General features: G+C 36.9%; 1 protein-coding gene across 18 annotated transcripts in view; it reads left to right on the top strand.

The window, feature by feature from the left end:
- The window catches only part of RBPJ (recombination signal binding protein for immunoglobulin kappa J region), a 329,683-nt gene extending 305,408 nt beyond the window's left edge, over positions 1-24,275 (top strand). For 15 of the 18 annotated variants that reach the window (XM_047415656.1, NM_001374401.1, NM_001379407.1 and 12 more), the window contains 8 exons: positions 4,619-4,784; positions 9,695-9,869; positions 13,486-13,623; positions 13,775-13,887; positions 17,864-18,004; positions 19,042-19,197; positions 19,563-19,666; positions 19,836-24,275. In XM_047415656.1, the coding sequence (XP_047271612.1) occupies positions 4,619-4,784; positions 9,695-9,869; positions 13,486-13,623; positions 13,775-13,887; positions 17,864-18,004; positions 19,042-19,197; positions 19,563-19,666; positions 19,836-20,151 (1,309 nt within the window). In that variant the 3' untranslated portion in view covers positions 20,152-24,275. The remainder of the gene's footprint in view (positions 1-4,618; positions 4,785-9,694; positions 9,870-13,485; positions 13,624-13,774; positions 13,888-17,863; positions 18,005-19,041; positions 19,198-19,562; positions 19,667-19,835) is intronic. The other 3 variants (NM_001379408.1, NM_001379409.1, NM_015874.6) reach the window with 2 other exon arrangements.

Raw genomic sequence — 26,030 nt, forward strand, 5'->3', positions numbered from 1 at the left:
AAAGGAGTAAAATTTTAAATGTGTGCATATCGCCACCAAGTGGCAGAGAAAGTATTGTTTGTTATAGTTGATAGAGCTGCTAGGGAAGATGAGAAAATAAAGGCAACGTGTTTTATAGGATATCTTTTTATAGCAGCAGTTAAATTCTGTAAGCTAACCACTTTTCAGACTTTTCACTGAGTGTTTGATACATATTGACCAACTGCCCAAATTTTAAAAAATAGTCAGTTTCACACACCTGGCCTAAAATACACCACATAAGATATATTTTAGGCCAGGTGCAGTGGCTCATGCCTGTAATCCCAACACTTTGAGAGGCCAAGACAGGAGGATCCCTTGAGACCAGGAGTTCAAGACCAGCCTGGGCAACATAGTGAAAGTCTGACTCTGTCTTTAAAATTAAATAAATAAATAAATAAATAAAGATGTATTTAAGTTTTCTTCTGTTAATTTGGTGGCCTTTTATTTTTACCCCACTCCCTTTAGTTTCTTTTGCGTGTATTCTTGCCTTTTTTTTTTGTATATATGCTGACTTTTATTCAATCACTAGATTTTTACGAAGTATGGGCAACAACTTGATTTGTTTGCCGTATTTTAGGGGATGATGATATTGGGATGTTTAAGGTATGATTTTATCAGCAATATAGAAATAATTTGAATGTTTAGATTATATTGGATTTGCTACTTCCATCATGGCTTTTTGAAATAATTTAGAGTTGACTTTTTTTTTTTTAAAGACTCAGACTATTGAAAAGTCTTCATTTTTCTTATATTTATTACATGATTGGAAAGCACTTTCAAGATAGAACCTTGGTCAGTGTTTTGAATAGAGAATTTTTTATCAACCTGATTTTTACCATTTCATGCATTTTGTCACAGTACTTTTGAGAAAACCAGCACTACTCATTCTTTTATCAGTTTAGCTCTCTTTATATTTTTCAGATGTGAAATTAAGAAGTACCATTTATGGGCCAGGCGCGGTGGCTCACGCCTGTAATCCCAGCACTTTGGGAGGCCGAGGCGGGCGGATCACGAGGTCAGGAGATCGAGACCATCCTGGCTAACATGGTGAAACCCCATCTCTACTAAAAATACAAAAAAAAAAAAAATTAGCCAGGCGTGGTGGCGGGTGCCTGTAGTCCCAGCTACTCGGGAGGCTGAGGCAGGAAAATGGCATGAACCTGGGAGGTGGAGCTTTCAGTGAGTGGAGGTCGCGCCACTGCACTCCAGCCTGGGTGACAGAGCAAGACTCCGTCTCAAAAAAAAAAAAAAAAAGTACCATTTATGATAACTCATTGAGATTTGACTACTGTATTTGGCATATAGGTTGCGCATTCCCAATCCAAAAATTCGAAGTGCTCCAAAATCTGAAAACCCCGAGTGCCAACATGACCCTGTAAGAGTCTTGCTCTGTCATCCAGGCTGGAGTACAGTGGCACTATCTTGGCTCGCTGCAACCCCACCTACTGGGTTCAAGCGATTCTCATGCCTCAGCCTCCTGAGTAACTGGGACTACAGGCGTGCGCCACCATGCCTGGCTAATTTTTGTACTTTTAGTAGAGACAGTGTTTTGCTATGTTGGCCGGTCTGGTCTTGAACTCCTGGCCTCAAGTGATCTGCCTGCCTCAGCCTCCCAAAGTGCTGGGATTATAGGCATGAGTCACTGCACCCAGCCTGGAGCATTTTAGATTTGGGATGTTCAACCACTAAGTATAAATGCAAACAATCCAAGGTCTGGGGAAAAAAAATTCAAAACACTGTTGGTCCCAAGCATTTTAGATAAGGAATACACAACCTGTACTAAAACACAGCTCTTTTGAGTTTTATAGCTGATACACCAATTTACTAAGGAGTCTTAACATCAATGTTCAATTAAAAAAAACAGGAGATGTGTTTCCAAAATTGATGCCTTCTCAACCTCCTGAGAGTGTGCCAACCTAGGTATTTGACTCTGTGCCATAGTAAGCATTGGGTAGCTCCCAGCATTAGAAGCCAGAAAGCTCCCCTTTGTAGACTTGAACTGAACCCACTCCAAAACTAGCCCAGCTAATCCAGGCTTCCCTCCAAATTTAGAGTGACCTGGAACTGGGCCCACTAACTTGGCTGTGACCTTTATATCCTTGGCCTCAGTGTAAGTATACAGGCATGAAAACTGCTCTTTTCTATTGGATTAGATAAATGTGAGAGGACTACAGAGACTTCCCTCCTCCCTCAGTTAAATCCGTAGGGCCTCCTTGGTCTACTTGTCCGCTACCTCTGGCTTCGCTGCCTGTTAATCCCCCTCTTGCTCTGTACTCCAGCCGCTCTGGTCTGTTGGTTGTTTCCCCACTGTTGGTCACAGTCCTTCCTATCTGAGAACCTTTGCACTGGCTCTTTCCTCTGTGGAAATGCTCTTGCCCCAGGTGTCCACATGGCTTTAGGTCGTGACTCAAAGTCACCTTCTTAAGGAAACTTTTCCTGACCACCTTGGGCCGTCCCCATTTCAAGTACCCCTTGCCTGCTTTATTTTTTTCTCCCCATACTTATCACCAGCTAATGGAGTACATATGCATGTTATTTCACTCATTTATCTGTTTTTATTATCTCTCTCCTATTAGAGTGTAAGTTCCATGAGGAGAGGAATTTTGTCTAATTTTTTTGTTTATTTTTACTGCTATATCCCCAGTATCTGTTACACACTCAGGATATAATAAATAATTTGGAGAATTAATGAATATTAAATAAACCCAGCTTACTTCTTGTAAGTCATATGTAAATTGCCTCTAAAGTAGTCTGGTTAGGGTTGAGCAAAAAGTAGGTTCCATTAATATATTTTCAGTCAGTTCAGTAGATAATATTGTAGAGGCTGAGGGGGAAGCAAACAAGAAGTAGATACTACCACCTTCAGGAAGACCTGAGCACCAAATCCAGCCTGCTGGTGTCTGCTTGTGTGTGCACATATGCACATAAAGTTTTTTTCTTTTAGTCTGCACGTTGTTGGCCTACAGAGTGTTAATAAGTGTAAATTAGTTGCCAAATTTAAAAAAACAGTATTTCATATAAAATTTGATTTCAGTCATCTATTGAACAATTGGAGGACGGGACCAACACTAGGCCTGCATGCCCATAGTTCAGCCACGTGAGTGTGAGTGGGTATATATACACTAGTGGCTGATTATCATTGCATTTAAGCTCTGGGTTTTCTTATACTAGGATTAAGAAAAGTAAGCCATTTTCTGTACTAATAACAGTACAAGAAGTGAGAATGACAATGGAGGCTGTGTGTTTCAAGAAAGAAGAGAAGGAAACTACTTCTTTGGGTAACTAAAGGATATTCCTAATTTTTTTTTTTTTAAGACAGAGTCTCACTCTAACCCAAGCTGGAATGCAGCTGCACTATGACAGCTCACCACAGCCTTGACCTCCCAGGCTTAGTTGGTCCTCCCACCTCAGCCACCAGAGTAGCTGGGACTATAGGCGCCTGCCACCACGCCCACTAATTTTTGTATTTTTTGTAGACATGAGGTTTAGCCATGTTGCCCAGGCTGGTCTCAAACTCCTGGGCTCAAGCAGTCCGCCTGCCTCTGCCTCCCAAAGTGTTAGGATTACAGGTATGGGTCACCGCGCCCAGCCTGGATATTCCTGTTTATTGTACGCGCCGTTCACCCATTTATATTACTTATGTGGCTACTATAGTTAATTCGAGTTTTCAGGCCCTCTAGAGAGATATGGCATAGATGTTTTAAAGTGTGTACAAGTCAACATTATAATTGAGCAAAGGTGAATTTACACCCTATATAAGGACTGGATTGATGGTCTGAACTATGTAAAATATGAGCCTTGAGCTAGGCTTTGCAATAGATAATATTTTTAATTGCTAAATAAAAGATTATAAGAAAATCATTCTCAGAAGAACTTGTGAAGGTGGTTTTTGACAACTAGCAAAACAAACCTGTCATATTCTGTGAGTTGAAAGAATACAGTGTATTGTTCTTTGAGCATGAGATATTTCTCAGATATCTACAGCGCACCAGGTGTTCCAAGTGTGTATAAAATTCAAAGATATATAAAACACAGCACTGCTCATAATCAGGAGATCCATGTATTTTTGGCTCTTTTGCTTAGTTTTATTAATATTTTGGATGTTTCTACTATGGACAATGCTCTAACACAATTTTCCAGGTTAATTACCACATTAAGTTAAATGCAGTATCCATAATAGTAATGTCACTCATTAATGATTGTGTCATTTTGAATAGGCCTTAATTAGTAATTACAGATTTTTGTGGTGGTTTATCGTGTTTTGTAATATGTTAGAGTACACTGGATTTGCTGAACTCTGGTAATTTAGAACTCTGAGCCATACAAAGAGAAGTTCTGTACTCTAAAAAGTATTTAATCTAACTGTATGCATAACTCCAATATTTTGCCTGAACAGATTTAGTCATTGTGGAAGTCCCGATTTCTGTCCTGTGGGCATGATTATTTGCATTACAAAAGGCTTCACCAAAATTTTTCATTGGGGAATAGGTGCATTTCAATATGATTTTGTATTCATAATGTTCAAGGAAAGGAAATGCTTTATTGAATCTAATTGATTTTTGCTTCTTGTTTTTTTTTTTCCCCTATTATTCTTCAGGTTTTTTTGCCCACCTCCTTGTGTATATCTTATGGGCAGTGGATGGAAGAAAAAAAAAGAACAAATGGAACGCGATGGTTGTTCTGAACAAGAGTCTCAACCGTGTGCATTTATTGGGATAGGAAATAGTGACCAAGAAATGCAGCAGCTAAACTTGGAAGGAAAGGTAAATCAAGACTGCTAGTTCACCAGAAAGGGGCACCATGGTACCAGAATGTAGTTTTCATATTCATTTTTGTGGTGGAGATTTTTTTCTTTAATAACTATTGGTAACAATTTCTTGAATATATAAACTAGGACCAAAAAACATGCCTCTCATAGCTTTGGTCTAGTCACTCATGAAGCTTACGCTGCTGACATTGGAAGGTGGCATGCAGTAAGCTTCCCCAGCTTGCAAGCAGTTTTAGCAGACTATAAATCAGATTTCTATTGGAAGCCAGTAATAAATTTAGGAGGCTGATTGCTCATCTTCTGTTTGACAGAGGTTTATCAACAAAAATACATTGTTCAGTAATGTTTTACTCTGCTATTTTAATCTTAGTTTTATACTAGACACGATGATATATACATTGTGGAAAGCATTTATCTGGGTTATAACGATCATAAACGTTTACTTGACATCAGAGTGAAGCAGAGTGATACTGTAGACAAGAACAGCCACAGTTGGCTTTACTCAAATTTTAGTGCGTGGCAGGGGTTCTTCAATTAATTTTCTAGAGAAAACAATCTATCAGCTAGTTTTACTGATTATATTGTATGAATTTAGAAAGCAGTCAATCTAGATCTTTTTTTTTCTTCCCCCGGGACAGGGTTTTTACTCTGTCACCCATGCAGAAATGCAATAGTGCAATCTTGGCTGACTGCAACCTCCACCTCACAAGTAGCGGGACCATAGGTGTGTGTCACTATGTCCAGCTAACTTTTTTGTATTTTTTTGTAGAGATGGGGTTTCGCCATGTTACCTAGGCTGGTCTTGAACTCCTGAGCTCAAGCAATCCATCCACCTCAGCCTCCCAAAGTGCTGGGATTACGGGTGTGTGCCACCGTGTCCAGCCAATCTATACTTTTAGTATTGAAAGATAGTTTTTTATTCACTTAGAATTTAGCTATGGTTTTATTTTTCCTTGCTACTGTACTTTGGAAAATGGTTAGTTCTGATCTCAATGACTAAACATCTTCTAAAATAGCGCATAAACAGCTGTTTCATTATTTGATACATCCTTGTTGAATATTTTAGTGTTTGCTATGTTGTAGTTGGCACTAGGTATATGGGTTGGGAGTAGTGTTGGTGGAGGTGAGCTAGGGGATTTGTACTCTCAAATTGAATTTTAGTGATTTTACAGATAGTACTACAGGTCTTAATGTCAACCTCCTTCAAATTTAGCTGTTTGTATGTCATTTATATCTTTATAGTTTTTGTAAGTAAGATTTGTTGACTATGTATTTTAAATTAGATTTGGGATAATACTTATTACAATAAAGATTGTTTCATCTTAAACCACTAAAACTATTTCTAAATTATGATCCCTGAGCTAAAGTAACGAATATATTTAAGTGGTGGGTTGATCTAATAGATCTTAAGTCTTGTCTCATCTGTTTTCTTGTTACCTAGGAAGTCTCAGAGTTATATGTCTCCAGGCTTCACATGTAGACATTCAGTACTATGAATGAGTGGATCAGATAGGTAGTGAGAAGCCAGGGATTCTAGCTACCTGTGTGTATAACTGTTTAATCCTACTTCATTGCTCATTTTAACCAGTTCCAGCTTCCAGTAATTTTAAATGAGGTGATACCAAATAAACCAACCAGTAGTATCACTGCTTGCCTTTCGCAGCATTGTGGCTTAGTAGTGCCACATCCTAATTTTGTACCTTTAGGGGCTGCCTCAACATGGAGATCTTTCTGCTGTTTTTCATTATATCTTTCTTCAACTTCCACTAGTATACCCTTTCCCCAAGGCCTAGAAACTGGCAGAAGAGGAATAGAATACCTGAGAGCTTGAGCATTTAACTAGTATTTAAAATACCTAGTAATAGGTTAGTACAATGTCTGTAAGCCAAAATTATATGTTAATATTTAATTTTAAGGAAAAATTCTATTAGGGAAGTTTATGTAAAGCAAGACTGGTGAGAGTTAGTAGAAGGCATCCCAGGCAGAAAAAAAAACAATATAATCATGTGCTTAGAGCATAAAGGTATAAGAACATGGTTTTGACCAAGGTAGGCAAAGATGTCCTGAGCAGCGGATTCTGAGCTTCAGTGAGAGGCACTTTGCTCTTGTCTGCCTCACTTAAACTCCATTCGTGTAAGGAAATAGTCTGTTCATTGAGTGGTACAATTAGTTATTGAGAAATATGGGATATTCATTTTGCAATTTTTGGTGTTTATACTTATTTTAAATATTCACTGCAACAAAATTCTAGTATATCTAGCCCTTTAAATTTATGGTCATGACATTTGGCTGTATGTAGGTAATATGTTGGATCTTAGATTTTGTGTAATGTTTTTAATTTGTTAAAAAAATTTACATTTTTTATAGTCACAGCTAGGTAAGCTACGCAACAAGGATGACTTAGTTAACACTCTTGTGTTTTTCTTATTTTTAAACATCATATACTCTTGGTAACATTTTGTTTCTATAATTTAAACATTTCTGCAGTATCACTTTGCAGCATTAGATTTGGTATTTCTTCTTTCTTTCAGGGAAATGTCTTTTATTGCCTAAAGATCTTGTTTTCAAAGAGTATTTCTAGAGAGATGATTATATGCCATTTTCTCTTCTAGAATTCCGTTAGCTAATTTAACCTTTTGCAATAGCAAGGCAAATGTAATTTTAGTTTTATTTGCTTATTTTCTATGAGTCAGTGACTTTTTCCTTCTTTTCTTAATGGAATTTGAGTAGTTTGTGGTCAGTGGCCTTATAGTTTTTTAAAACTAATAGTTCCCATAAAATTATCTTGATTATGATTTTTGTGGATTCAAACTACTCATTGTAATTAGGGATATATTTCCTTTCTTTCCAAGGAGATATATGTGTGTTTGTTTTTTCCGAACAAAATGCAGTTCTTTTTGTGTAGGTCTTATGATCCAACCTTCTTGGTTCTTTTTTTCCGTTCTTGTTTGCCAATATGTCTTATTTATGCTGGATTTCAGTATTTTCTCTTTCTGATATGGATCTTACCTTTTAATTTTAACACTCAAAAGCCATCTCAACATTTTTAAGCTTTCCCATTAGAATGTAATTACCTTCATTTAGATATAAATTTCATTTTTGCTTCCCATGACTGTCTGCTTTAGTACATTGATACCCATTTTCATAGACCTCGTCTTATGTTGCAGAAGAATTTCATTGTTTAGGCTTAATTTGACCTTCAATGCTGTCTGTCACTTTTAAGAGTATGGCCGACCTATGGGTATAGCAGCTCACAGATGCCATCTCTGAGTGCGTTAGAGATCTTGGGTGCAAGGAGTGATGTGACTGCAAAGTACTGTTGTTTTTTGTTTCTTTATCTTTATTCATTTTGAGACAGGGTGCCACCGTGCCGCCCAGGCTGGAGTGCGGTGGTGGGATCACGGCCCATTACAACCTCTGCCTCCTGGGCTCAAGCGACCGTCCCACCTCAGCCTCCTGAGTAGCTGGGACTACAGGCATGCACCACCATGCCTGGATAATTTTTGTGTTTTTCGTAGAGATGGGGTTTCACCATGTTGCTCAGGCTGGTCTCAAACTTCTGGACTTAAGCAGTCTGTCCACCTTGGCCTCCCAAAGTGCTGAGATTACAGGCATGAGCCACCACCCTGGCCTGTTTTTATTTATTACTATGATTGGCTTTATCTTATTTTTGCCTTCTACAGAGCAAAACCTCTCAAAGCTTTTACCAAACTTTTGATTTTTAAAAACTTAGTTAAATGTATAATGTTCAAGATGGCATCTAAATTTTCTTATATAGCTTTGCTATGAGAAATACAATAAACTATTGCAGTAGTTTTGTCTGCTACCGAGGCTGTCTGTGAATAAAATTTTAAAGATAAAAACCTAGAAGTCATTAACTGTTTCCTGAGTAGCATTTGCTCTGCTTTTTAAAAGGAAGATACAGGAGAGGCAGTTGAAGAAACTTGTTTAGCTTAATTTTAAAGTGGAATGTTGATCCTTTAAAAAATATAATTCGATACTTTAGATACTTATGCTGTGTTTCAGCATCATTTATCTTATCTGGAAAAGGACAATAATTTAGACCCCTCCCTGATTCACAGGGATCAAGAGAATAGGAAAGATTTTAGAATTGTTATATATAATATAAGCAGTAGCATTTTGAAGGGTCTTTGCTGTTTGTAAAGTGCTATATCTCTTTATCTTTTCAGTTATCAGAATTTAAATTCTGGTAAACTGACATAATGCCTTGAGCATTTTCTCTAGTACCTTTAAATTCAGTTCTTCTGGTGATACATATGAATCGTCCTTTTGGGCAAAGTTAACCATTTTAAAAATAGTTCTTTAAAGTAATGCTTATATAATCTCTTTCTGGTTTAAGATATTTTATAATCATCCAGTTTGTCTATCATTGTTTTCCTCAATCTTATAAGTGATTACTCTAGTGTTCAGCTATATAAAGAAAAATATTTTATGCACTATTTTGAGAAGAACTACTGCTAAAATCTTTTACATAATTTCTTGAATTCTGATAGCTTTATTATTATTTTTTTTTTGGAGAAAGTCATTGATTTTTTTTAACTGTAAAATTTATTTTAAAAGTTACTGCTGTAACGTTGAGTGATAATTCCATGATACAGTTGTAGAGCTATGTAAAACAAGAAAAGGCTGTTTTTTTAAATGGTCTTTTAAAGAGGATACAATAGATGACAATGTTTGTGTTCTACAGACTTTATAAGGAAGACTTTGTACTTTTCCGAAATCAATTTCAGTAATTTTTATAGTTGATAATTTTTAGAGTTGGTTTTATCAGCTATCCCTTGGAATTGTTTTACTTATTACTTAAACCATGGCCATTCTGAGTTTTAGGTACTACATAAACAAACAAGGTTTTGCTGCTGTTAAAACTTTACTTTTCTTTCACAGAACTATTGCACAGCCAAAACATTGTATATATCTGACTCAGACAAGCGAAAGCACTTCATGTTGTCTGTAAAGATGTTCTATGGCAACAGTGATGACATTGGTGTGTTCCTCAGCAAGCGGATAAAAGTCATCTCCAAACCTTCCAAAAAGAAGCAGTCATTGAAAAATGCTGACTGTATGTATGCTTTTCTTATTTATCCCCAACTGCCACCATGAATTAATAAGACAGACTCTTTTTTAAATTAAAAATTGCCTTTTCAATAGCCAATTAATTCTTTACTAATATTTTTGTGGCCCTCTTTATTGTCTCTCTTTTTTTAATCGTAAATCGACAGTATGTGGTCTAATGAAGCAGTTCTTAACCAGAGTTGGTTCCTTAATGCTCCCAGGGACATTCTGGGGAAATGGGAGATTTTCTCCTTCTGTTGTTACAGTGACTGGAGGGGGTGATGTTGGCTTTGGGTGTCTTGAGCCTGTGGTGCTGAATTGAATGTCCTGCAGTGTCCAAGGTAGTTCCCATTCCACAAAGAATTGATCTACCCACAATGTCAACAAGTACCCCTTTGAAAAACGCTACCAACTAAATGGGCTTTGGCAGGCCTTCCTGAGAATCTAAACACAATTTTTAATGTGGTTGCTCTGGCAGAGACTGCTGTCTCATCAGCCTATTTTTAGACTACCAAACAAGTATGTTTGAATTATAAATTTAACCTCCACACCCATTTTTCTTTTTTTAACTTTTTATTATGGAGACTTTTCTTTTTTTTTTTGAGATGGACTCTTACTCTGTCGCCCAGGCTGGAGTGCAGTGGCAGGATCTCAGCTCACTGCAACCTCCACCTCCCGGGTTCAACCAATCCTCCCTGCCTCAGCCTCCTGAGTAGCTGGGATTACAGGTGCCCACCATCACGCCCGGCTGATTTTGTATTTTTTAGTAGAGATGAGGTTTCGCCATTTGGCCAGGCTGGTCTTGAACTCCTGACCTCAGGTGATCCACCCACCTCGACCTCCCAAAGTGTTGGGATTGCAGGCGTGAGCCACCATGCCTGGCTGAGACTTTCAAATTTATATAAAAGGGAGAAATTAGCCACCCAGCCTCAACAGGTTTTATCAATTCTGTTTCATTATCTCCATCACCACCAACACCTCTTCGTCTTCTAATTGCTGGAGTATTTTAATGTAAATCTCATCCTATCCTTTCAACCAAAATTTCTGCAATAGTGACTAATACATGCCCTTTTTTTTGAAACATCATTATACGTAACAGTTGACAGCAGCTCTTAAGTGTCATCTAATATCCTATTTCATGTACAGATTTATCAGATTGACCCAGAATGTCTTTTTATAGTTTTTTTGCTTTGTTTTGTTTTACAGTGGTTTGTTCAAACATGGATTCAGATAAGGTCCACACATTTTAGTCTGTAATAGTTTCTTCTCACCCTCTCTCACCTTTGTTTTCCTTCTATGTCATTTATTTGTTGAAGAAACTGGATCATTTTTCCTGTTGTGGAATTCCATATTCTGGGTTTGGCTGATTATATGTTTCTCTGTCTCTCTTACTTTCCATGAACTGGTGGTTAGACATAAAGACTTTCAGAACTGATTGGTAAGATATACATTTATTTCCATTGGATTGGAAGTCATAATATCTGATTATCCCCTTTTTTTTTTTTGGTCATGTTGAGATTGATTATAGTAGTTCAGCTGTTGTAAGTCTATTCCACCCATAAAGTTCCTCAGCAAACTTTAACCTAATGGTTTTAATAGTCATTGATGATGTTTAAATCCATTTCATTAAATGCTGCAAAATGGTGATATTCTAATTTTTTAAATTCTAACTTCTGCATTCGTTAGCTGGAGTTTTTTCTACAAAGAGGGACTTTGCCATATCAGCTATTTGCTTCAATTGTAATATGTAATGAAAAGGCAGGATTAGGTGCTTGTTTACTCATTTGCAGAATAATAACATTCCTTGAAAGTGACCAGTGGGGTTTTAGGGTTTTTGTTTTGTTTGCTTTCTTTTCATTTTGTTTTATTATGAGATCATGGTTTTTGTTGTGGTTGTTGTTATTGTTGTTGTTTTGTATTGGTTATATTTTAGTCCACTCAGTCCACTAATATCACTTAGTTTTTATTACGGAAAAATTTCAAACACTCTCAAGTAGACAGAGTTGCACCATACAGTGAAACCTCTTATGTTCATTCTCTAACGTCAACAGTGATCTTAACATTCAACCAATCTTATCTTCATCTATACCTGTACTCCAGCCCCACTTTCTTCTGCCCTTATTTTAGTTTGATGCATATCCAATCAGTGTTCAAATTTAAAATGGTCTAAAATATTTTAAAAATCAGATTGCTTGAATCAAAATTCAGATCTACCACTTAGTACAGTTTATATTGTGATATGTCCTTGAGTATAATCTATGGACACCCCCTCAACTCTTGCAATTTATTTAAGTAAGTTGAAACATTTAGTCACTAGAGATTTCCACGTACTAGATTTTGCTGATTTCATTTATTTGGTATAGTTTAATGTATTTTCTGTAAATTGGTAGAGTCAAAAAGAAATAGAGCGTGGGCCTAGTTGGAAAGACAGATTTCATTCAGTACTATTGCAATAGGGGAAAATAGAACCAAGTTCCATTTCAGAATACAACAAAGACACTTGGGGATGAAGCAGAGTGAGAGGGTCAATGGATGGAAACTTTCTAAAAGGAGACATCAAAGGTAGAAGGTTTCTTTCTGACCTGACTTAGGATTCCTGCTAAAGGCAGGCCAAGGTGATCATAGATCCAGAGTGGGAGATAGTTTAGGAGGATTCTTACTATATATAACTGAGCTAAACAGACTGATGACGGGGCTCAAGGACAAATACTAGTTGATTGCTCAGAGCAGCCTGCTTAAAAGTATGGTCAAGGAGAGAATCTTTAGTGTAGAATGGTGATCAGATTTAAGTTTGTTGTCCTTTGGTTCTTGTTTTCTTTCTGAAAAGCAAGACCTGCTTCAAAGGTGGTGGTGTGCTCTCTTGCACTAGGAGGTATATTATGTCTTGTATTCAGGCTATTTGCATTTCAGATTACACAGTTTTATGTAACTGCTTTAACTTTGTGTTTGTACTGAATATTAGTTTCTTGATGGCAGAGAACATATTTCACTTTCAGAATGTTTTTCTGCTTACATGGATTTATTTTCAAGAAATTTCATACAATACTTTATTTAGAAGAAAGCAGAATTTTCTGAAATCACAGTATGCAGAGGCATTTACCATCAACTCTGACAAACATCCTTCTGGTCCCTTTTCTATGCATGTATTCTGTGGAATTGGATGCAAACACATATTAAAAATATATACATTTGCCTAATGGAACCACAGCATACAGAGTATTTTATAGTCTGCTTTTCCATTCAGTGATATTCCAGGAAAATATTTTCTTATCAGTGTGTTTAGATACACATCCTTTCAATAGGTCATCATTTAAATTTCTACTGTCTAACATTATTTTAAAAGTAAGTTTTTCTCTAATAATCAGCACCACATTAAACATACTGTGTAGCTTTCACTTTAAAATTATTTTTATGGACATTTGATATCATTAGCTTGACATTATTAATAACAGTTACCTTGACTTTTTGATATCATCTGTACTGTCTTGGAAAGTGAAAATATTTGTCAAACTGTTAAATGATAAGAAAGAATAATTATACACTGCCAAGCAGAATTTCCTTCTTTTGCTCCCTCCCCACCTTCTGCTCCAATCACATAAATAAGAGCTGTTTTTTCTTTGCAGTATGCATTGCCTCAGGAACAAAGGTGGCTCTGTTTAATCGACTACGATCCCAGACAGTTAGTACCAGATACTTGCATGTAGAAGGAGGTAATTTTCATGCCAGTTCACAGCAGTGGGGAGCCTTTTTTATTCATCTCTGTGAGTATAAAAGTGTGCATTTAATGTTTTTAGTGTGAAATTGTTAAAATCTTTTGATGAGATACATGGATATATTAAGTTTTGTCATTTGCCTAATCATAAAATAAATTTAAAAAGATGACAATTTGATTTATTTTTCCACCTACTGCAGTGGATGATGATGAATCAGAAGGAGAAGAATTCACAGTCCGAGATGGCTACATCCATTATGGACAAACAGTCAAACTTGTGTGCTCAGTTACTGGCATGGCACTCCCAAGATTGGTATGGCTCTACTTTTGCTTTAGTGATAATGTGAAGTAAAAATTAATTTCTTAAACAGGAAAATCACAACATTCAAATGGAAAAACACACCTCAGTTTTATGCTTTTTAATTTTAAAAGGTATGTTAGTAATCAGTGCTGTTTATAATTGACAGTTATGCTCTACCTTATTTCAGAAATGCTTTAAGGTAATAGCCAGTTTTTACAAGTACATTCTTAATGATTTTTTCTTAAATGATTTCCAATATATTTTGGTGGCAATTTCCTTTTTGGCTGTTTATCTGAAGATGTTCAGTAGAGGGCACTATAAATTACATTTCTTTTCTTTACTAATGCGGATAAACCGTATTCATTTTTTTGTGGTACCTGCCATATCCCAATGTAGGACCAAGTTTGCAAACAGAAGACATTCTTATTTCTTTTGAAATATAAGCGTAATTTTTGTTAGCTTACTCTCTCACAAGAAGATAGATTTATTAAAACTGAAATAAAATTGGTATTTCTAACTGGGAGCAGGGCATAGGATTTAGGGCTTTTGTTCAATAGAAGACATTGAAACTCGGCCACGCATGGTGACTCACACCTGCAATCCCAGCACTTCAACAGGTGAAGGCAGGAGAAGGAGAAGTGACTAGCCCTGGCATCACTTGAGCTCAGGAGTTCGAGACTAGTCCTGGCAACATGGTCAGACCGTCTTTACCACTGACCCCGCCCCCCCAAAAAAAAAATTAGCCAGGCATGGTGGTGCACACCTGTAGTCTCAAGCTTAAGTGGGAGGATCACTTGAGCTCGGGAGGTCAAGGCTGCAATGAGCGGTGATCGTACCACTGGACTTTAGCCTGGGCAACAGAATGAGATCCTATCTCAACAACCACAGAAAAGGAGATCTTGAAATTGTAAAAACTACTTTTGTTAGTAAAATGAAAACAAAAGTCCTCTATAGTGCCACCACCCTCCCAATTTTCCCTCTCCTTTTCTCAAACAATATAATTTACTTATATTCAAGATGAAGGGGATTTATGAGTAAGTTTGATTCAAGGTCAGACTGAAGAGGTTGGGTGAGTAGAAGAACATTTAGTATTAATGTTCCTAAACATGCCTCCTATTTATCTTTTTGGTGCAATATTCCACTGGCTTATATTTTCTGGGGTCATTTCAGCAGAGGCTGGTTTGATCTACAGTTTTCTAAGCCAGTGATTCATTTCTTTGTTACTGTTTTTTTTTTTTACCCTCTGTCATGATTGTACAAGGTGATTTTATTTCCCATGTCAATGCAATAAGCTAGAAGACATGAAGTATAGTAATAGTAATCTGTAAAGCTTTGCAGCTGAGACAAATTATAATAAAAAGGGTAACGTTAGGGAATGAAGGGCATGAAAAACAGAGCAGGAGACAGAAGCAAGCAAAAAATCTGAATCAGCATTTATTCATTTTTTTTCTCTTCTCATTCATTTCCTCTGTTCCAAGGATGATGTTCATTTGCTTTGGTGTTAAATGCTTGTACTGCAGAAGCACAACTTAGGAGGATGATTCTGATCACCAATAGTTTATAATACAAACCACTTAGAAGACAGACCCAAATTTAAAACAATGTTTTCATTTACAGTTGTTTGTAAAGTACCAGTAGCCTGCCTTGCTTGAAAGTCATTAATTGAGGTTTTTACACTCAAAACTGTATGGCTTTATATAAAAATGTTGCAATGAAAAATTAACTTATTAGAAAAAGTTGCAGTACCATTATTAAGACGCTGATACATAAATCTTTCCAGGGGTTTCATGACAGGAATTCTGACATGCAAAGTCGAGTGCCTCTCGTCATTGAGTTTACATTTTGATAGAGTGATAAGCCAAATACCCATGTAAAGGATTTATGTAGTGATGAAAAAACAAAACAAGATAATAAAGGGATAGAGAATTGGAGGAGCGCTTAGAGAGGTCAGGGAAGTCTTTTTGAAGTCGCAGTATTTGAAGAGAGCCCAGAATGAAGTCAAAGAACCGGTAATTGAGTGAGGAGCATTTCAGGCAAACAGAACAAGTACAGAACTGAAGGCAGGGGATGTATGATGACTAGTAAAGAAACCAGTGGAGCTGGAGCGGAGGGAGGAGAGGTCAAGTGGCAGGAACTGAATCTGTAAGGTTAGCACTAAGCAAGACCTTGTAGGATCCCTCTCTGTATCTAGGGTAAGGACTTCATATTATCTCTGCATGTTAGAAGGCCACTGGAGGATTTTAAACGGGGCACGATGGCCTATTTTTGTTTAGAAGTATATGTGTGGCTGCTGTGTGGAGAAGAGAGCATAGCAATGCGGCCGTGGAAGCAGAGAGACAGGTGCTTGGATTGTTGTCATAATTGAGGCAAGAGTTGATGCTATCTTAGACCCAGGATCATAGTATTAAGGTGGTGAGGGGTGACTGATTTGTTGGAAAGTGGACCTGACAGAATTTGCTGGCAGATTGGATGGTTGGGTGTGAGAGAAAGCAAGGCATCAAGGGTGACTCTTAAGGTTTTTGGATTGAGTGAATGCTAGTGCCATTTATTGACCTAGATGAGTTGGGGAAGGATCAAGTTTAGGAGGAAATCCAAAAATCTGTTTTCGATATGCTAAGCTTGAGGTGCCTGTTAGACATCGTAAGTGGAAATGTTGAATAGGTAGTTAAGTGTACATACAAGTTGAATGCAGGAGAGAAGTCTGGAGATAATAAATTTGGGAGTTGTCAACCTTTAAATTTTTAAACAGTATAGATTATAAAGAGAGGAAAAGAGGGCTGAGAACTCAGCTCTGGGCATTTTAAAGGTCAGTTGGAGCAGTTGTGGTCCTGAAAGCAAAATGTGTTGAGAGCTTCTGAGAAAATGAAGTAAAATGAGGACAGAAAAGTGCCGTGAGATGCATCTGTCTGGAAATCCTTGGTGGCTTTGAAAAGCAGTTGTAGTGGCGTCTTTGAGATAAAAGGTTGGAGAGATTGCAGGAGATTGGACAGTGAGGAAGAGGCGTTTGCAGAAAAACAGGTAGTGAGAGGGAGGGACAGGAGCATGTAGTCAGTGTTTTCTTTACTTTTGATTTTGAGATGAGAGATAGTTATGTTTGTATGTTGTTGGAAGTGATCAATAGAAAAGGAAACAGAGTAAAAGTTCTGTGTCAAATTTTGCTCTTCATCATGATCATCTACTTAGCCATTACCTTCTAGGTGTCAAGTGTCATATAGGGTTTGATAGTATTATCTTTCAGATATTCATGTGTTTTGTAGACTAGTTGCGTTATAAGCTTTAGAGATCAGTTGGACAGGCAGCCAGCCCTGGGATCAGGACATATTCTGGTCCTTCAGCTACTAAACTGGTAATTTTGAGCAATTTGTCTGACCTTTCTAAGCCCATTTTGTAATCTGTAAAATGAGTTTGATTTTGTTATGTTTTTAAATACGTAAGTTTTGGATAATAGATATAAGACGTTTGCACTGACAGTAGCCTTCTAGAGATTTTTCCCTTTGATGTTGGAGTATTTGTCATTTTATGCATATTATTGGAAAATATCATTAGAACTTGCTGTTCAAAATATGGTCTGTAGGCCAGCAGCATTAACATCAACTGGGATTTTGTTAGAAATGCAGAATATCAGGCCCCACAAGAGTCCTGCTAGATCAGAACCTGTGTTTTTCACAAGAACCCCAGCTCATTTATGTGCACATTAATGTTTGAAAAACACTGATCTAGAAAACAAGTGCCTGCCTGCCTGATTTTTTTTTTTTAGATGTTCAGGGAAGAGGGTAACAGTTTCTACATTCTGACATGCTTGCAATCTAAAAGTGTTTTTTATTCCTAGTCTTTTTGTTTGTGAATGTTTTTATATATGTAGGCATAGGACAAATAACTGTGATGTATTATTATGCAGTATATAGCTTCTATGTACTTTTGATGTTTTACACAAGGAAAATCCTTTCCATGTGTGGATGACCTTTTATTTCTTAATTGTTAAATATAGATAATTAGGAAAGTTGATAAGCAGACCGCATTATTGGATGCAGATGATCCTGTGTCACAACTCCATAAATGTGCATTTTACCTTAAGGATACAGAAAGAATGTATTTGTGCCTTTCTCAAGAAAGAATAATTCAATTTCAGGTATGTTTTTAAATTACTGGTGAAATCTAAAATGTACAAACTGTGAGGTTAGCAGCTTGCAAAAATATGAAATTTTCATTTGCTGTTAATTATATACAAATACATGAAGCTATACACAGATATTTATCTCAGGTATGAGCATCCTTAACACACAATCCTCAGACATGCAAGCAATCCTTCCTCAAGGAAGAACTCAAAATTATGAAAATGTTCTCAGAGAAAACAGTTAACATCTAGTTCCAGGGTTCTTAATTGAAGAACAAAGAGCCCCTCAGGATATCCAAAAATAGATTTTCAGTGCTCATTGAATCCTCTGAAATTGTGTGCAAACATTGTATAGACAAAGCATTTTTCTGGGTGAAGGCTCAAAATCTCATCAGATTTATGTCGTGGTTTCCGAAGATAGTAATGATGACATGCTTTGAAAGCTAATGTTTTACATTTACTCAGAAGGCTTTCATGAGGTTATGACATGGGCAGATGATTTAATAAGACAGTTATGGTTTCATGTGAAACTCCTTTGCAGAGAGATGCCCATACACACTGATGGGCATGCTGAGTCCCTGGTCTAGGTGTGTTAAGGTAGGGGTAGGGGCTTTGCCTTCCCATCTTGATTCCCTCCCATGGAACATGCATAAGCTTCTAGCTGTTGCCTAAGCATGAGGAGTCCCATTGTCTTTCTTAGGAGTCCTTGAAGAGTTTTAAACAGCCATTTACATCACAGATATTGATCTGCTGTTAATGAAATTGTACCTGCATTGGTATACTCATAATGGTTGTTCTGAAAGGTATTATTATTTAATATGTCACTGAAATAGTTTGTATTATAAGAAAAACTGCTGTCTATGGGGTTTCTGTATTAGCATTCTGTTTGTGTTTATGTAGGGATTGGCAAAGCACCATACTTTAGAAAGTTTATAAGTTTTTACTGAGTTATCTTCTTATTAACTCTTGTCTGAGGGTTACTTGGTAAAATTTTCTTATCCTATTAATACAAACTGTATAAAACTTAGTTTCTAAACTTCTTTCTTTATTAGGCCACTCCATGTCCAAAAGAACCAAATAAAGAGATGATAAATGATGGCGCTTCCTGGACAATCATTAGCACAGATAAGGCAGAGTATACATTTTATGAGGGAATGGGCCCTGTCCTTGCCCCAGTCACTCCTGTGCCTGTGGTAGAGAGCCTTCAGGTGAGAACGCCTAGTCCAAGTTGGCCTTCAGCTCTTTGCAGCTACTCTCAGCTGTGACCTGGCATCATTTCATTTCATGGGAGTTTTGATTTTTCTCCAATCGTCTGATTAGGGGATTTTTATATACACCATTTGTTGATTTAAAGAAAAAAAAACAAAATTAGGAGGAGCGTACTTGCCAGAAAATTTAAATGTAAATAAACTTGTATGTTATCTTGAAATGTTTTTAGCTAGCTTTGTAATAAAAAACATTTTAATTGCCCTTTTTTAAAAAAAACAAATGAAAGTTGAATGAGAATCTAATTTGTGTACTTTAATGAAAAATGAAAAGTTTTCTCAGTGTTGTGATTTTCTGTGAATTGCAGTTGAATGGCGGTGGGGACGTAGCAATGCTTGAACTTACAGGACAGAATTTCACTCCAAATTTACGAGTGTGGTTTGGGGATGTAGAAGCTGAAACTATGTACAGGTACTTGATAAAACTTTTTGCATCATCCAGAGGTTGTGAGGGGTGTGGGTACAGGAGATTCTTTCCTGGCACTGATTGTAATGTATTAAACAACCTTGTGTTAAGTCTCATTTTTAACATGTACTTTGCTTTTTAAAGTGTTTTTAAGTGATTTCTATTTCCTCCTCAGGTGTGGAGAGAGTATGCTCTGTGTCGTCCCAGACATTTCTGCATTCCGAGAAGGTTGGAGATGGGTCCGGCAACCAGTCCAGGTTCCAGTAACTTTGGTCCGAAATGATGGAATCATTTATTCCACCAGCCTTACCTTTACCTACACACCAGAACCAGGGCCGCGGCCACATTGCAGTGCAGCAGGAGCAATCCTTCGAGCCAATTCAAGCCAGGTGCCCCCTAACGAATCAAACACAAACAGCGAGGGAAGTTACACAAACGCCAGCACAAATTCAACCAGTGTCACATCATCTACAGCCACAGTGGTATCCTAACTACCGTCTTTTTGCTAGGACTTAAACTGACTTGAGTGTGGCAAAAAGTTAACAAAAAAGGAGAAAAAATGAACAATCGTTTGTGGTTTCTTGGGAAAACTTTTCATACCAGGTGATACTATTCAAAAACCCCGTTGTCTCCCTGCAAGTGCTGATTTGAAATGCAGAAGCCACAGTAAAAAAAAAAAAAAAAAAAAAAAAAAAGAAAAAAAAATCAAAATGTATAAATATTGGAAATCAAGTTTTTCAGCTGTTTTGTTGGTTGGTTGGTTGGTTTTTGTTTGGTTTTGTTTAAATGGGCAAGAAGTAAATAATGTGGCTGGAATACAAGTTGAACAAACTAGAAGACACAAATCTAACATAGTTTTTATGGACCAAGGAACTTGTATATTGTATAAGCTTTAGTAAAAGGTACATTTTCACCATACCTTTTTTTATATCACGGTATTATAGTACACCTTGTTACCAAATAGGTTGTTCTCTTCCCCACCCACCTTTGAGCTTTTGCTCTAAAATACATTCAGGTTCCAAGCCTGACCATCCTTGTTTAATCTATCATACTCTTCCAGGTTTTTTTTTTTTGGTCTAAGGCTGGAACTTTTTTCTTTTTTTTCAGCTGAAGTCTTATGACTTTTCATGAGTCAAAATTGTTTGGATTTCAGCAAGTCAAATCTTGCAAAGGCCTGCATATTTTTTTTAAGATTATATGAAGTCTGTGCAAAAGCTTTAAAAAAATGCCTCTGCCTTGCCTGCAATACATGCAATGTATGTTAACTTAGTCTCTCTTCTCAGACACTGTTGGTAGTTATTTCTGTGTTTTCCTTTTTTTAAAAAAAAATATGGACTTATTGTGGTTATCTGAGAGGTTCTAACATTCACATGCAATTTGGTGTGGCCATTTAGCTATTAATGAGTTAATGGCGCAGAACTTGTTGATATTTGAAGTGTTCTCTCCCCTTTTCCCATGACGTAAATACATAGGTGTGTTCCAGGATTTGTTCAGGTTTTTCCCCCCTCCTAATCTTGTACATAACTTGTATTATGTGTAAGTTAAACATTTTATTTTGAACTTGGAATGTTCCCAGTGATTTCATTCAGCAGGGTATTTTCTGCCTTGTTGGCAAGTGACAAAAAATATGGGAAGTATTTGCTACCAGTTGGTAGATGGTGCCCTTAATGGTAGAATGAGGAAAATGTCCGCAAAAGCATGTTTTATTATCTTTACTTTTTTGGGGGGTTGGAGGGGGTAGCCTAGCCAGAACATCATTGTAATCTTAAAACATAAGATGCTTTTATTAGATGATCAACTAAAATAGCTGGAAGACAGTACTTTAGAAACAGATAGTTGTAAGATTATAAAATGCAAATGTAACTTATGTTTTCATTTTTTTCTCTGCCTTTTTTGTTTGTTTGTTTTCTCTTTTCCAGTACTGAGCATCTCCACAAATGTCTCCTAACTCAGAAAATGTTTCTTTTCTTTTCAGTTGAGATTTGGTTGCATTCAGGGTTGTAGGTTGGCCTTGCTTGCTAACCCCGCCGGTTTTACCGTGCTTTCATTCCTGAACTTTGTTTATGCCTTTGTTTGGTTTCTTCGAAATTGCAGCAGACTCATTGGGCTACATTTAGTACAGGAACCACGTGTGTAATGTTATACAACACAGTCTAGTAATACAATCATCCCTCTTAGAGTAAAAACTACCTCTAGATTGTGGTAAGCTTTTACTGTCCCATAAAACAGGAGCCACAGTACCTTATGAATGCAAAACTGTAACTTCCTACAGTGTTTCCCTACAGAACATTGTCTTTCTGGTGTCCTGGGCTGTTTTGAAAAAGTTTCCATTAATAGACTTTTTAGAAATTATTATTAGTAGCATTTTTTTTCCAGCTTTGCTGTCTTCATCACTCACTCTATGCTCAGACTATGCCACTGTAAATATTCTTCCTAACATCTTTAAATCGCCTTTTCCTCAGTTTTCAAGGGGAAGGTCATTTGTAAAGCACGTTAGGTGGTTAAATCAGTTATTGCGGTTTTCTCTTACTGCAAGCCTTTTTAATCACCCCCAGGCTGCATTTTATTCTATATCGCCTTTTTTCTTCAAATCTGCTCCAATCACTCACTTCTCTCTTATAAGCTAATCCTGCCTCACACCTTAAATCTGTTTCAGTGATCAAGGGCAGAACTCATTGTGGCCTTATCTTTCTTTGTTGTAATTGTTCACTGTCTCTTTCTTACAGACCACTTATTTCTGAGTAGTAGTTATTCCTCTCTATGGAGTCATGGCAGGAATCATTACACAGTGCTTTTGTTCAGAGCATGGACATGTTCCTAGTGCTGCTTTGCTTTAACGGCCACAAGTTTCCTCCACTTCCTAGGTTTGGTATTTAGTTAAGGAATCATATTAAATTAACCAATAACAAAAGAGATACTTTTGAAGAACAAACTATTCCTTACCCATTTTTGTAGCTCAAAAATAATTTTTCAAGTTCATGACCTTATTAAAATGAACTTGTGTTTTTTTAACAAACATGTATGTTTTATTTTGATAGTTTCTTTCCGTAAGATAATTGAAATATTATACTGTAAACCCTTTTCTTTTCTTTTTTTGAAAAGTCCAAGAATGTACTTATACAGGCATTTTTCCCCACCTATTTTTGGCCATTCTCATACCACAGACTAAAGAGTGAAATGATTTGTCCATTGTAGCTTATTGTTTATCAGTAGTTCTTTTGTCAGCTGCTTACATTTTTTCTTTCATGGTTTTGTGAATCATTTTCAGTATGTAATTTATAGGAACCTTGTCCTCTGGTTATAGTAGACTGTGTGCCCTCCTCCAGTGATGGCATTATTAGACATGCTGGTCATTTACCCTCAGAAAGACTCTCTTATTAGAATGGTGAGTGCTTCAGTTATAGTATGTTTGAATTTTTAAAAAATTCTGTTTTAGAAATGTATCTTATGCTCTCATGACTATGCAGTTTCTAAACATACACATAGAAGCTGAGTCTCTGATCCAATATGTTTTTATTTGTTCCATTTAATTTATCACATAGATTGGGAAGGCAAGCTAAAAGCCTTAAAAATGCCCTTTATATTTTGAGTGATTTCAGCGTTGAACACTAGTATACTATCTAAATTTGCTGCTCACTTTCTTTAAACTGTGGCAATTAAAGGCATGTTTATACATGACTTAATCGTGAAATGTTTGTCACTCTTACTGCACAGACTTATCTGCAATCATAACTGGTTAGTTTTTTTGTTTTGTTTTGTTTTATTGTTTTTAATGAAACTGGTACCATCTGTGCTTTCACAAAAAACTTCCAATGCCATTTTTGAGAACTAACCTAACTAGTCATGCTAACCAGAAAATCCACTGGGGAGGAGGTTCCTTTTGAAACAAAATGCTGTTCAGTTAGTAACCAAGTTACTTTGATTGCAAAAGCAGCTGTGTTTCTGATAAGTACTGAACAAATGTGTGTAATTTTCTGTGCCAGACTTATGACTTTGTTTTCAAGCACTGTAATGTGGGATGGATGGTTAGAAACAATAATATATTAGGGTTTCTGTTTAACCCTTTCAGGACTGAACTGTATCTCCTTTTGTTAATTTTCCCCTGTGTTGTGATAAATGTTTGCCAGCATTCAGTACTGTGTTGGTCCAGATGTAGGTTTATATGCTCATTTTTAGCTTATTTCTTGTACCTTGCAGCATGCTCTACGCATTCAGTCCTTAAGGGGTTTATTTTACAAACTGTGCGCCTGTAAGGTTTATTAGCAATAAGATAGAAAATTGAGCAAGTTTATACCATAATTTTGTAGAAAAAAAGAATCTGCTCAGTTCCATATTTCATCCGTGAAAAACTTGCAATACGAGCAGTTTCAAGGAATAAATAAAAAGGAAATGTAAACCATTGTAAAAGTCTTCTGTCGAATGTGCCTGATGCATGTATTATCGTCTTTTATTTCAGAATACTTCATAAAGATAAAATTAAATTCTATATTATAGTTGGTGTATTTACAATCTTACCATGTACATCACATCAAAGTGATAGCTCTACTAATTTAATTTCCTTGTCAATGTTTTTAACTATATAGTGCTTTAAAGAGATTTTTTTTCCCTGTGTAAATGGTGAAATGGGCTTTGTCACTCAAGGGTCATATCTCTCAAATCAGAATCATTTAAAGCTGATTGCAACAAAATTTGAGAATATTACTTAGCAATAACTTACTTTTCCAATATAAGATGGTCATTTTGTCTGCTATAGGAAGGAACACATAATCGTTTGCCTTTGAGGGGTGGGGGTGGGTCCTAGAAGTGGGGATAGTATTCTTTAATATGAAACAAAGTTAAATGGGGAAGTTACATAAGTTTTTTTTTTTGAGACGGGGTCTTGCTCTGTCGCCCCTGAGCTGGAGTGCAGTGGCACAGTCCTGGCTCACCACAACCTCTGCCTCCCGAGTTCAAGTGATTCTTCTCCCTCAACCTCCCCAGTAGGTGGGATTACAGGCATGCGCCACTGCGCCTGGCTAATTTTTGTATTTTTAGTAGAGACAGGGTTTCACCATGTTGACCAGGCTAGTCTTGAACTCCTGACCTCAGGTAATGTGCCTGCCTCTGTCTCCCAAAGTGCTGGGATTACAGGCGTGAGCCACCGTGCCCGGCCCATAATTTTTAAATCATAGCAAGTTCAGTTGTTATTGACCTACCCAAAGAACGAATCTAAGTTATGAGGATTTTGCAAAAGACATCTGGCTATAAATACTCATTGTTAAGTTAGAAACGAACATTTAGTTGGGGTTTGAATTGTGAGGCCTCCAGAGGTTGAGAGTGATAGTGAGTCACTCGATTTAGAATTTAGAATAATCTTGTACTCCTTGCTATAAGTACTGCATGGTCACTTTAATCTTATTAAAAAAATTAAATATATTGGTTTTTTTGGGTCATTGAACCCCTAGATGGCCACCAGTTATGATGATGTGCAAGCCAATTTAGTTTCCAAATCTAGTGAGTCAGCACAGAAGGAAGTTTCCACCTCTAAAATAACAACAGCAACAACAAACTAGAAAGATACACTAAAAAGGAAACCCTAACAGAAAGTTTGGTGCTAGAAAACATTTAAGGAAGACAGATGAAGCTGTTGTATATAAAGTACAAATAAGACCATTTCATCAAAGAGGTCGAGCTGTAAGCCTCAAGCCCTGTCAGGACCTGTAAGACTGAACGGTTATGCCCATGGTTCTTTGTGTTCAGAGTAAGGCTGTCCATATGCCTGGCACATAGGCATTCAACAGAGTTAGGTGCACCTGTAATGTTCACCTATATGGAACTCAGGACTAATCTTGGTTTATAGAAAATGCAGGTAAATACTCTTTAATACAGAACAATGAAAAGGTTGTAACTAGTTTCTTGTAAGAAGCATACTAAATGCAAATAGGTTATTTTATAACTATTAGAATTTCCATGATGTTTTGCTTTGAGGGAGGCACTTTAAATTCTGATGTTCTATGGAAATTTTTTAAAAAGGTAAGTATGAGGTGTAGGTATATCTACCATTTCTAGCTTTTCATCTCCTTCCAGTCCACTGTCCTGTCATTCAGTGCAGGTGAGCATGTAGGTCAGTCAATTTCTTGCTTCTTTACCTGTTTGATAATGTCTACTGGTGCTGGGCAGAGTCAGGATGCTCATAATTACTTACATTTCAACTATCTAGAAACACTCCCACCATCATCATATAAAGGGGTAAGGAGTGTGACTAGGTTATTCCTGCAGTGGCCTGGAGCTGGCTCTGGCAGCTTTTCTTCTCTTCTAGAACTTTTTCCTCCCTGCAAGGCTGTCCTTCCCTTTATTCTTCCTCATCACACAACTCAAAAATCAGGGCTTC

Source organism: Homo sapiens, chromosome 4 (genome assembly GCF_000001405.40).
Source record: "Homo sapiens chromosome 4, GRCh38.p14 Primary Assembly".
Classification (NCBI taxonomy): Eukaryota; Metazoa; Chordata; class Mammalia; order Primates; family Hominidae; genus Homo; species Homo sapiens.